A 13,523-nucleotide genomic window follows, 5' to 3' on the forward strand; every position below is an offset into this window, starting at 1 on the left:
AGGGAAGAATGTGAGAGGGGGTAGGTTGCAGGTGAAACATCTGGCGTTCTATTTGGGTCATGCTAAGTTTGAGATAGATCAGATATCTAAGCTGAGGGGCCAAGTAGAAGGCTGAATATATAAAAGTCTGTGGTTCTGCAGATAGATCAAGGCTGGAGACATGGGTTCCAGGACCATCAGCCCAAAGATGGTATTCAAGCTGGGATCCTGGTTGAGATCATCTGGAGCATGTTTGCTTTCTGATGAAAGTGATAGAGAAGTCATTGTTAAGGGGATGGGATCCAGAGCTCAAGTGGACGGGGAATCTCTGGAGACACTTCATCCAGAGAAAAGAAAAGGTGGAGAATTTTACATAGATGCTGGTAGGTTAGGAGTCTACATTCTAGGTTGATGAAGGAGTTCCTTTCTGATTATTTCTAAAGTCTCAATGAAAAATGAGAAAAGTCACCAGCTTAGAGTGAGCACAGGGGAACAGGTATTAGAAGTTGAAATGATCAATCAACCAATTTTTCAATGCCTTTCCAAAAGACCGTCAACCCCATAAAAGTAGTAGGGGTTGGGCCTGTCTTATTCATTCTTGTTCCTAGTGCCTTGCAAGTTGCTGCACATAAAGTGTTCAATAAACAATTGCTGAATGAAAGAGTCAGTGATTGAATGAAAGTTAGACACCTCTGGTAGTTATTTATTCCATATAACCATCTACTCCTGAACTTTGTGGCTTAAAACAACCATTTATGATTACCTCTCACCATTCTGTGGCCTTGATGAGCTCAGAGATGTAGTTCTTACTTAGGGTTCCTCATATGATTCCAGTCAAATAACTGGGGTTGGCTTACAGCTTCTTTACTAATGTGTCTGATGCCTGTGATGTCTGAGACATTTGGGTACTGGTGGGGCATCTCTGTCTCCATATGGTTTCTTCTTCTTTTTTTTTTTTTTTTTTTTTTTTTCACTCTGTTGCCAGGCTGGAGTGCAGTGGTGCAATCTTGGCTCACTACAACCTCCGCCCCCCAGGTTCAAAGCGGTTCTCCTGCCTCAGCCTCCCGAGTAGCTGGGACTACAGGCACGTGCCACCACGCCCAGCTAATTTTTGTATTTTTAGTAGAGATGGGGTTTCACCATGTTGGCCAGGATGGTCTCTTTCTCTTGACCTAGTGATCCGCCCACCTCGGCCTCCCAAAGTGCTGGGATTACAGGCGTGAGCCACCGCACCCGGACATGGTTTCTTCTTCTTTGCTGGCTTGGTCTTCCTTACAGCATAGTGGTCTCAGGGTCGTTGGATTTCTTCCATAATGGCTGGCTTTCTTCAGGGATTGCTTCTCCCACAATTTGTGTTCCAAGGGACCCTGGTGGACTCTGCAAGGCTTCTTAAATCCTAGCCTTAGAAGTGTCACAGCATCACTATTTCTGTTGGTTAAAACAGTCACACATCAGCCCAGATTCAAGGGGGTGAAGGGATAGAATTCACTAACAGGAGAAGAAATTGAGGCAGCATTCTTGGAGACAAGCTACAACATTCATGCAAATGTGTCATGCAGACCTGGAATTTAGATGAAAGAATAGAACTAGAGACCAAAAATAGAAATCACAGACAGAGATAAGAGAGGTGGATTCACAAGAATGGACTGGACCCCTCAAAGGAGAAATGGTAAAAAGCCTGAGCCTTGGAGGACATTCCCCCACCAGCAACCAAAGGCAAAGGAGAGAGAAGAGGGAGGACAGGGGAGGGAGAGATAAAAAGGAGGTGGGAGGACCAAGGTAAAGGAGGTGAGGAGACAGAGCTGGGGGAAAAGAGAGAGAGAGAATATTAGATTTAGAGTCTAACTTTAGCTTATGGAATAAATAAGAACCCAAATTATCTGAAGAGTAAAATCAAATTCTCAAATCTGTTTTTAGAGACTACTCAGCCTAATTGATAAAATTAATTGCAGTTGCTACTTTAACCCTCAACGGAGCAGAAGCTTAAAATTTGCTGTTTAGATTTCAGTTTCTAGTTATACCTGAGGTTGTTCCAGCTTGGTTAGGTTCAAGCCGGTGAAAGGCAGGCTGGTACTAATGATTCTTGTAAAGATTGCCATTCACATACCCTGCTGTATGCTTGATTGAGTTTCATGAAGCCTTCAAAAAGTAGTGATTTGGTTATGCTCTGAGTTTGAAAAAGGACCATTATTATACCAGATTTAAAATTGGATTTGGGTTAGCTCAGTTATCTGACTCATCACTAATTTTCTTTGACAATTAAGTCAATTCTTGGGTATACCTTGTATCTGAGTCTCAGTTTTCATTGAGAAATAAGATTTTATCTTTGCAAAGTTAGAAAAGGGAAAAGATAAAGCAGCAGGTCCTGTCAAAAGGAAAGGTGAATTCAATGTCAAATGGTGGGACTGTGAAATTAGAGAGCCAGGGGCTCTAATGAGGAGGAGTTCAAAGGACAGAGAACAAAGGGGTGAAGAAAATGACGGAAGGAAGAGGAAGTCAAATTGGCCTAGCTGAGCTGATATGTTTTCTCGATTTCTTGACCTCGTGATCCGCCCGCCCTGGTCTCCCAAAGTGCTGGGATTACAGGCGTGAGCCACTGCGCCTTGATGTGTTTTCTCTTAGAAACCTTTCGAGGATCTAGCAGTACTCTACTTTGCACAAAAAAAGAAATACTTCAATTAATCATTTTATTTAAGGTAGAGTCATACAATGTATGTGATTTTTAAAAAAATGATAGCCTAGTTAAAATGTAGCTAGAATCCTTTATATCAGCTGGTGTCTGTAAATATGCTCACATTCTTACACAGACACTTCATGACTTCTGCTCCAAGCTCAGAGTTAAGACGAGCGAGAAGCTTCATTTGTCCCTAAGTCTTGAACTGTTTGTAATAAGCGATTACTCCTACTTTAAGTTAAATTTCCCATGTTGAGCCAGCCTAGAATGTTGATGCTGGAAGGTACTTCCCGGCTCATTCATCTCTACCCCTCATTTGGCAGATGAGAACACACCATTCAGCCGATGAGAACACAGGCATCAGAACCCAAATGATAAGCCTATTCATTTTATTTTAAAGACTGTGAATTTCACAAGAGATTTTTTAGATGAAATTGTATAGATGCCTTCAAAAAATCATTAATAGAATATTATTCCCTCTCATATCATCCGAATAAACTCATCATTGCCATAAATGTTTTGAATAAAGCCACAACAAAATATGAGCTGTCCTTTGAACCTCACTTTCAATGTCTTCAAAGCTACTCTTCTGGGCTTTGCAAACTCCTTGGCAAAATTAGTCTTTTAAGTCTGAATAGAAAATATCTTCACAGTGAAACTGTATTAGTTAGGGTAACCTCACTGCTGTTAATGAATAAAACTCTTAATCAATAGCCTTGTAAGATACTTGCAAGTAGCAGTGACATGGAAGAAAACCTCTCAGGAAGAATACTATGTCTTTCACACACGGGCCATTTTTCCTGTTACATAAACACTGTGGTCCTTGTTGCTGTTTACCTTTTTTGGGATTAGAAGGGCAAAAGTAAGATAGATGTCCTTCTGGGATGTGCACTGGCTCCCAAGCTAAGCCTTTCACTATGGTGCCATGAATTTATGTAATCTTGGGTCAAGGCCTGCTGTCAGGCAAAAATTAAGCTTTATCAGGTCACTCAAAGTTGATGGACAGCAAAGCACTGATTTGTTTCAACTGATTAATGAAGGACCAATTGTCTAAACCAGAATCCTAGACTCAGGATAGCTCAGGGATTATGACCACGGGCTTTGGACTCAGAACTATGTCCTTATCTTCACTCTGCCACTATGTGGAGCAATGTGATCTTGGACAACTGACCTAATCTTGCTAAGCCTCAGTTTCCTCATCTAGAAAACGGAGATACTACGTACCTCAGAGAATAACTGCAAAGACTAAATTAGATTGTAAAGTGTTTAGTGGCTGTCAGGTGCAAAGTAAACACTGATGTTGCTATTATGATTCTGAAAGTGGTTGTTTTATTGGGAGACATTCTTTGAAATGCCTGAAAGATTCATGTATAACATGCAGGATCAGGGCATAAACCTGAAGTTGCTCAGTGAAGATGAAATCTGATCAAGGCCACAGACAGGGGCAATAGATTAGCAGTACCTCCTCAGAGAGAGAATCTTTCTAGGGCTGAATTCCTGTTTGTCTGAGTCAGTGTCTCACTCCTTTGCATGTGCCTGCTCTATCATAGATATTCAATAAATATTTTCGCACTGACTGAGCATGCTGGACAACAATGTATACTTTTTGCTCACTGGGTTTTCTTTTTCTATGCTTCATTCTCACCATCTCATGATAAAATTGATTCAGTTTTTATTCACTAAATTCAATCAATTTCAAATCTGCTTCCCAGAAATTAAACTTAGGTGACCTTGATTGCAGTCCTGGGTATTCTAAAACATTCTCATTCTTTTTTTTATTTTTTAGATGGGGTCTCACTGTCATCCGGGCTGGAGTAGAATGGCGTGATCTCGGCTCACTGCAACGTCTGTCTCCCAGGTTCGAGCGATTCTTGTGCCTCAGCCTTCTGAGTAGCTGGAATTACAAACATGCACCACCATAACCGGCTAATTTTTGTATTTTTAGTAGAGATGAGGCTTCACCATGTTGACCAGGCTGGTCTCAAACCCCTGACCTCAAGTGATTCATCTGCTTTGGCCTCCCAAAGTGCTGGGATTACAGGCGTGAGCCACCATGCCTGGCCACGTTCTCATTCGTTAATTCCACTTAAAAAATTGCAACTCATAGGCTGGCGGTGGCTCACACCTGTAATCCCAGTACTTTGGGAGGCAAGGTGGGTGGATCACGAGGTCAGGAGATGGAGACCACCCTGGCTAATATGGTGAAACCCCATCTCCACTAAAAATACAAAAAATTAGCCAGGCATGGTGGCGGGCACCTGTAGTCCCAGCTACTCGGGAGGCTGAGGCAGGAGAAGGGCATGAACCTGGGAGATGGAGCTTGCAGTGAGCCGAGATCGTGCCACTGCACTCCAGCCTGGGCCACAGAGCGAGACTCTGTCTCAAAAAAAAAAAAAAAATTACAACTCATAAATACTTACACAAAGACATATGACTTAAATGTAAAACCTAAAACTACAAAAAACCTAGAAGAAAACCTAGGAAATACCATTCTGGACACAGGCCCTGGAAAGAGTTCATGATAAAGACTCCAGAAGCAATTGCAACCAACAAAAAAATTGATAAGTGGGACCTAATTAAACCAAGAGCATCTGCACAGCAAAAGAAACTATCAACAGAGTAAACAGACAACCTACAGAATGGGAGAAAATATTTGCAAACTATGCATCTGACAAAGGTCTAATATCCAGAATCTGTAAGGAACTTAAGCAAATCAATAAGCAAAAAATAAATAACCCCATTAAAAAATGGGCAAAGGACATGAACAGATACTCTCAAAAGAACACATACACATGGGCAAGCATGTGAAAAAATTCTCAACATCACTAATCATTAGAGAAATACAAATCAAAGCCACAATGAGACACCATCTCACACCAGTCATAATGGCAATTAATAAAAAGTCAAAAAATGACATGCTGGCAAAGTTGCAGAGAAAAGGGAACACTTAGACACTGCTGGTGGGAGTGTAAATTAGTTCAGCCACTGTGGAAAGCAATCTGGAGATTTCTCAAAGAACTTAAAACAGAACTACCACTTGACCCAGCAATCCCGTTATTGGGTATGTACCCAACGGAATATAAATTGTTCTACCATAAAGACACATGCACATGTATGTTCATCACAGCACTATTCACAATAGCAAAGACATGGAATCAGCCCAAACCAGGATTAAGATGGCGAATAGGAGGCAGGACTAGCTTGCAGCTCCTGCTCATATGGAGAGAGCAGCATGTGGAGACTCACATCATGAGCTTTTTTGCTACAATTCTTGTAGCACAGGAACATACCAGGAAAGCCGAGGGAATCCACAGACGTTTGAAGCAACTGGATCACTGCTTCAGGCTCCCTGAGATGCTGAAAAACTGAGTCAACTTGCTTTCTCAGGCACATACCAGGAAAGCCGAGAGAATCCACAGACAGTTTGAAGGAACTGGATCACTGCTGCAGGCTCCCTGAGATGCTGAAAAACTGTGAGTTAACTTGTTTTCTCAGCCGGGAGGCTCATGGTCTGGGGCAAGTTCTCAGCCCTGGTCATGGGCTGCCTAGAAATAGACTTGGTGCTGTTGCAGGGCCTCGGTGGGAGTGAGACCAGCCTTTAGGACTGTGGGCTGAGTGGGAGTGAAGTGAGGCCTGTGACTGCCAGCTTTCCCCCACTTCCCTGGCAACCTGTATGACTCAGCAGAAGCAGCCATAATCCTCCAGGGAATATAGCTCCCTTGGACTGGGAGCCACACACCCATTCCCCACAGCAGCTGCAGCAAACTCCGCCCAAGGAGAGGCTCAGCTCAGACACACTATCCCTGTCCCCACTAGATGGTCTTTCTCTACCTGCCCTGGTAGCGGAAGATAAAGGTCATAATCTCTTGGGAGCTCTATGGCCCTGCCCACTGCCTGAGAAACCTGAATACTTAACCAGGTCTCCCTAGGGTAAATTTGCATCCTCCTTACAGGGCCGCAGCTGATAAACTCTTGAAAGTGGCACTTCCTGCCTGGAGCTTAACCAACACAAAACCAGTGCACTAAACAAAAACACAACCAAAGATCCTCACAGAGTCCACTTCAGTCTCCTGCTACCTCCACTGGAGCAGGTGCTGGTATCCATGCCTGCAAGGCCTGAAAACGGATCACATCACAGGACTCTTTGCAGACACTCCTCAGTACCAGCCCAGAGCCTGGTAGCTCTGCTGGGTGGTAAGACCCAGAAAAGCAAAAACAACCATTACAGTTCAGCTCTCAGGAAGCCACATTCCTAGGGGAAGGGGGAGAACACCACATCAAGGGAGCACCCCATGGGACAAAAGAATCTGAAGAGCAGCCCTTGAATCCCAGGTCTTCCCTCTGACATAGTCTACCCAAATGAGAAGGAACCAGAAACACACTTCTGGTAGTATGACAAAACACAGTTCTTTAACACGCCCAAAAGATCATACCAGCTCACCAGCAATGGATCCAAACCAAGACAGAATCTCTGAACTGCCAAAAAAAGAATTCAGAATTAAGCTAATACAGGAGGCACCAGAGAAAGATAAAATCCAACTTAAAGAAATGAAAAACATGATACAGGATATGAAAGGAAAATTCTTCAGTGAAACAGATAGCATAAATAAAAAACAATCGCAACTTATGCAAATCAAGGACACATTTAGAGAAATGCAAAGTGCACTGGAAAGTCTCCGCAATACAATCGAACAAGCAGAAGAAACAACTCCAGAGCTTGGAGACAAGGCTTTTGAATTAACACAATCCATCAAAGACAAAGAGAAAGGAATTTTTTAAAATAAACAAAGCCTCCAAGAAGTTTGGGACTATGTTAAACCTTCCAAATAATTGGTGAGTAATTGGTGTTCCAGAGGAAGAAGAGAAATCTAAAAGTCTGGAAAACATATTTGCGCTAATAATCGATGAAAATTTCCCTGGCTTTGCTAGAGATCTAGACATCCAAATACAAGAAGCTCAAAGAACACCTGGGAAATTCATCACAAAAAGAACACCCTCTAGGCACATAATCATCAGGTTACCTAAAGTCAAGACAAAGGAAAGAATCTTAAGAGTTGTGAGGCAAAAGCATCAGGTAACCTGCAAAGGAAAACTTAACAGATTAGCAGCAGATTTCTCAGCAGAAACCCTATGAGCTAGAAGGGATTGGGGACCTATTTTTTAGCCTCCTTAAACAAAACAATTATCAGCCAAGAATTTTGTATCCAGCAAAACTGAGCTTCATAAATGAAGGAAAGATACAGTCTTTTCCAAACAAACAAATGCCGAGAGAATCTGCCACTACCAAGACAGCACTACAAGAACTGCTAAAAGGAGCTCTAAATCTTGAAGCAAATCCTTGAAATACACCAAAACAGAACCTCCTTGGAGCATAAATCTCACAGGACCTATATAACAATAACACAATGAAAAAAGCCAAGGTATTCAGGCAACAAATGCACAATGAATAGAATAGTAACTCACATCTCAGCACTAACATTCAATGTAAATGTCCTAAATGCTCCACTTAAAAGATACAGAACAGTAGAATGAATAAGAATTCACCAGCCAAGTTTCTGTGTCTTCAGGAGACTCACCTAACCCTTAAGGACTCATATAAACACACGTAAGGACTCATATAAACTTAAGGTAAAGGGGTGGAAAAAGATATTCCATGCAAATGGACACCAAAAGCAAGCAGGAATAGCTATTCTTATATCAGACAAAACAAACTTTAAAGCAACAACAGTTTAAAAAGACAAAGTGGGACATTATATAATGATAAAAGGACTAGCCCAACAGGAGAATATCACAATTCTAAATATATATGCACTTAACACTGGAGCTCCCAAATTTATAAAGCAATTACTATGACCTAATAAATGAGATAGATGGTAACACAATAATAATGGGGGACTATACTCCACTGACAGCACTAGACAGGTCATCAAGACAGAAAGTCAACAAAGAAACAGTGAACCTAAATCTAAATGTACCCTACGACAAATGGACTTAACAGATATTTACAGAACAGTCTACCAAGCAACTGAAGAATATGCTTTTTTTTTTTTTTTTGAGACAGAGTCTCCTTCTGTCACCAGGTTGGAGTGCAATGGCATGATCTTGGCTCCGGCTCACTGCTGCAACCTCCACCTCTTGGGTTCAAGCAATTCTCCTGCCTCAGCCTCCCAAGTAGCTGGGATTACAGGTGCCTGCCACCACACCCGGCTAATTTTTATCTTTTATTTTTTTGTATTTTTAGTAGAGATGGGGTTCCAATCGCTTCTTGGCCTTTTGGCTAAGATCAAGTGGAGATGGGTTTTCGACATGTTGGCCAGGCTGGTCTTGAACTCCTGAACTCAGGTGATCCACCTGCCTTGGCCTTCCAAAGTGCTGGGATTATAGGTGTGAGCCACTGTGCCTGGCCCTAGAATATACATTCTATTCATCAGCACATGGATCATTCTCCAAGAGAGATCATATGATAGGCCAACACACAAGTCTCAGTAAATTTAAGAAAACTGAAATTATATCAAGTACTCTCTCAGACCACAGTGGAATAAAATTGGAAAACAACTTCAAAAGGAACTCTCAAAACCATGCAAATATGTGGAAATTAAATAACTTGCTCCTGAACGTTGGGTCAACAATGAAATCAGGATGGAAATTAAAAAATTCTTTGAACTGAATGATAATAGTGACATAACCTATCAAAACCTCTGGGATACAGCAAAAGCATTGCTAAGAGGAAAGTTCATTAAATGCCCACACCAAAAAGACTGAAAGAGCACAAATAAATAATCTAAGGTCAGACCTCATGGAACTGGAGAAACAAGAATAATTCAAACCCAAATCCAGCAGAAGGAAAGAAAGAACTAAGATCAGAGGAGAACTAAATAAAATTGGGAAAAAATACAAAAGATAAATGAAACAAAAAGCTGGTTCTTTGAAAAGATAAATAAAATTGATAGACCATTAGTGAGATTAACCAAGAAAAGAAGAGAGACAATCCAAATAAGCTCAATTAGAAACGAAATGGGAGATATTAGTACTGACAGCACAGAAATACAAAAGATTATTCAAGGCTATCATGAACACCTTTATGCCCATAAACTAGAAAACCTAGAGGGGATAGATAAATTCCTGGAAATATACAATCCCCTTGATTAAACCAGGAAAATATAGAATGTCTGAACAGACCAATAACAAGCAGCAAGATTGAAAGGGTAATAAAAAACTGCCAACAAAAAATGTCCAGGACCAGAGAGATTCAAAGCTGAATTCTATCAGATATTCAAAGAATTGGTACCAAACCTATTGACACTATTACAAAAGACGGAGAAAAGAGACTCCTCCCTAAATCATTCTATGAAGCCAGTATCACCCTAATATTAAAATGAAGGAAGGACGTAACAAAAAAGAAAACTACAGACCAATATCCCAGATGAACATAGATGCAAAAATCCTCAACAAAATGCTAGTGAACCAAATCCAACAGCATATCAAAAAGATAATCCACCATGATCAAAAGGGTTTTATACTAGGGATGCAGGGATGGTTTAACATGTGTAAGTCAATAAATGTGATACACCACTTAAACAGAATTAAAAACAAAAATCACTTGATCATCTCAATATATGCAGAAAAAACATTTGACAAAATCCAGTACCCATTATGATTAAAAACCTCAGCAAAATTGACATCAAGGGACATACCTTAACATAGTAAAATCCATCTATCACAAACCCACAGTCAATATTATACCAAATGGGGAAAAGTTGAAAGCATTCCCCCTGAGAACTAGAACAAGACAAGGATGCCCACTTTCACCACTTCTGTTCAACATAGTACTGGAAGTCCTAGCCAGAGAAATCAGACAAGAGAAAGAAATAAAAGGCATCCACATCAGTAAAGAGAATTGCTGTTTGCTGATGATATGATTGTATACCTAAAAAACTCTAAAGACTCATCCAAAAAAAAGTTTCTAGAACTGGTAAATGAGTTCAGCAAAGTTTCAGGATACAAATTTAATGTACATAAGTCAGTAGCTCTACTATACACCAACAGTGACCAAGATGAGAATCAAATCAAGAACTCAGCACCTTTCACAATAGCTGCAAAAAAACAAAATACTTAGGGATATACCTAACCAAGGACATGAAGGACCTCTACAAGGAAAACTACAAAACACTGCTGAAAGAAATCATAGATGATACAAGCAAATAGAAACACATCCCATGTTCATGGATGGGTAGAATCAATACTGTGAAAATGACGATACTGCCAAAAGCAATGCACAAATTCAATGCAATTCCCATCAATATACCATGATCATTCTTCTCAGAACTAGAAAAAAAAAGTCTTAAAATTCATATGGAACCAAAAAAGAGCCCACATAGCAAAAGCAGGACTAAGAAAAAAGAACAAATCTGGAGGCATCACATTACCTAACTTCAAACTATACTATAAGGCCATAGTCACCAAAACAGCATGGTATTGGTATAAAAATAGGCACATAGACCAATGGAACAGAATAGAGAACCGAGAAATAAACTCTAATACAGCCAACTAATCTTTGACAAAGCAAACAAAAACATAAAGTGGGGAAAGGACACCCTGTTCAACAAATGGTGCTGGGATAATTGGCAAGCCACATGCAGAAGAATGAAACTGGATCCTCATCTCTCACCTTATAAAAAAAATCAACTTGAGATGGATCAAAGACTTAAATCTAAGACCTGAAACCATAAAGATTCTAGAAGATAACATTGGAAAAACCCTTCTAGACATTGGCTTAGGCAAAGACTTCATGACTAAGAACTCAAAAGTAAATGCAACAAAAACAAAAATAAATAGATGGGATTTAATTAAACTAAAAAGCTTCTACACAGAAATAATCAGCAGAGTTAACAGACAACCCACAGAGTGGGAGAAAATCTTCACAATCTATACATCCAACAAAGAACTAATATCCAGAATCTACAAAGAATTCAAACAAATCAGCAAGAAAAAACAAACAATCCCATCAAAAAGTGGGCTAAGGACATGAACAGACAATTCTCAAAATAAGATGTACAAACGGCCCACAAGCATATGGAAAAATGCTCAACATCACTAATTATCAGGGAAATGCAAATCAAAACCACAATTCCATACCACCTCACTCCTGCAAGAATGGCCATAATGAAAAAATAAAAAAAAATAGATGTTGGCATGGATATGGTGAAAACAGAACACTTCTACACTGCTGGTGGGAATATAAACTAGTACAACCACTATGGAAAACAGTGTGGAGATTCCTTAAAGAACTAAAAGTAGATCTAGTGTTTGATCCAGCAATCCTATTACTAGGTACCTACCCAGAGGAAAATAAGTCATTATGCGGAAAAGATACTTGCACAGTGATATATATCACATGTATCTATATATATCTATATATATATACACACACACACACACACACACATATATATATATACACACACACACCATGGAATACTACTCAGCCATAAAAAGGAATGAAATAATGGCATTCACAGCAACCTGGGTGGAATTGGAGACTATTATTTTAAGTGAAGTAACTCAGGAATGAAAAACCAAACAATGTTATGTTCTCACTCATATGTGGGAGCTAAGCTATGACGATGTAAAGGTATAAGAATAATACATTGGACTTTGGAGGCTCAGGGAAAGGGTGGGGGGTGGCAAGGGATAAAAGACTACACACTGAGTACAGCATACACTGCTTGGGTGATGGGTGCACCAAAATCCCAGAAATTACCACTGAAGAGCTTATTCATGTAACCAAACACCACCTGCTCCCCCAAAACCTATTGAAATAAAAAAATTTTTAAAATGTAAAGCAAAAAATAAAAAATAAATTAATAAAACAACTCCTTCCCCCCACCAAAAAAAGACATGGAATCAACCTAGATGCCCATTGACAGTGGGCTAGATAAAGAAAATGTGGTACATATACACCCTGGAATACTATGCAGCCATAATAAAGAATGAGATCATGTTCTTTGTAGCAACATGGATGGAGCTGAAGGCCATTATCCTAAGAATATTAATGCAGGAATCCAAAAATCAAATACTGCATGTTCTCATTTATAAGTGGGAGTTAAATGTTAACTACACATGTACACAAAGGAGACAACAAAAGATTCTGGAGCCGCTTGCGGGTGAAGGGTGGGAGGAGAGTGAGGATTGAAAAACTACCTATCAAGTGCTGTACTCATTACCTGGGTGACAAAATTCTTTGTGTATCAAATCCCCACAACATGTAATTTACCCATGTAACAAACCTGCACATGTATCCCTGAACCTAAAGTAAAAGTTGGGAAGGAAAAAAAGATATATGCATACAAATAAATATTCATGTAATAACAAAAACTAAACCAAAACATGAAGTTTACGAGAGTTATTCACACTGGAAATATAAATTTGGGTGTCATCAGCGTACAGATGGTGTTTAAAGCCAAGAGACTTGCAGAGATCACTAAGGGAGTAAGTGCACATAGAGCAGGAAAGGGCTTGGAGGACTGGGGGTTGGGGGGAAGGTGTCTAAATTTAGAGATCAGAGAGAGGATTAAAGAAAAAAACTGCAGAGGAGACTGAGAAGGAGTAGTTGGAGGTGGGAGGAAAACCAGATGTGTGTGGTGTCAGGAGTGAGCCACTGTGACAACAAGAGATTTGCCATAGGATTTACCACTGTGGGAGCTTTGCTGAAGTTGCCTGTGATAAAGTTAACTGGGATAAAGGAAAACCTCACTAGAGTAGATTTAAGTGAGAATGGTGGGGAAGACTTGGAAACAGGATGCAAAAAGAAGAAAAAGCTATACACACACATACACACGAGCATGCATTTGTACACGCGCAGAGGAGCTCT

General features: G+C 40.2%; 1 long non-coding RNA gene across 1 annotated transcript in view, besides 1 other annotated feature; it reads right to left on the minus strand.

Annotated features, from left to right (window-relative positions):
* Window positions 1-650: 650 nt before the first annotated feature.
* Window positions 651-13,523, minus strand: part of LOC124909445 (uncharacterized) — a 33,494-nt gene continuing 20,621 nt past the window's right edge. Inside the window, exon 2 of the long non-coding RNA XR_007096126.1 lies at window positions 651-1,407. This is a non-coding gene — a long non-coding RNA (uncharacterized LOC124909445). The remainder of the gene's footprint in view (window positions 1,408-13,523) is intronic.
* Window positions 5,788-6,987: an enhancer, noted in NCBI's record as "MED14-independent group 3 enhancer chr3:149740146-149741345 (GRCh37/hg19 assembly coordinates)". NCBI's record gives its function as "activates an origin of replication core promoter dependent on BRD2, BRD4, P300/CBP and CDK7 cofactors, and independent of MED14, by STARR-seq in HCT116 cells {active_cell/tissue: HCT116}" and the evidence as "EXISTENCE:reporter gene assay evidence [ECO:0000049][PMID:35650434]".

The sequence above is a fragment of the Homo sapiens genome, chromosome 3 (assembly GCF_000001405.40).
Source record: "Homo sapiens chromosome 3, GRCh38.p14 Primary Assembly".
NCBI classification, from domain to species: Eukaryota; Metazoa; Chordata; class Mammalia; order Primates; family Hominidae; genus Homo; species Homo sapiens.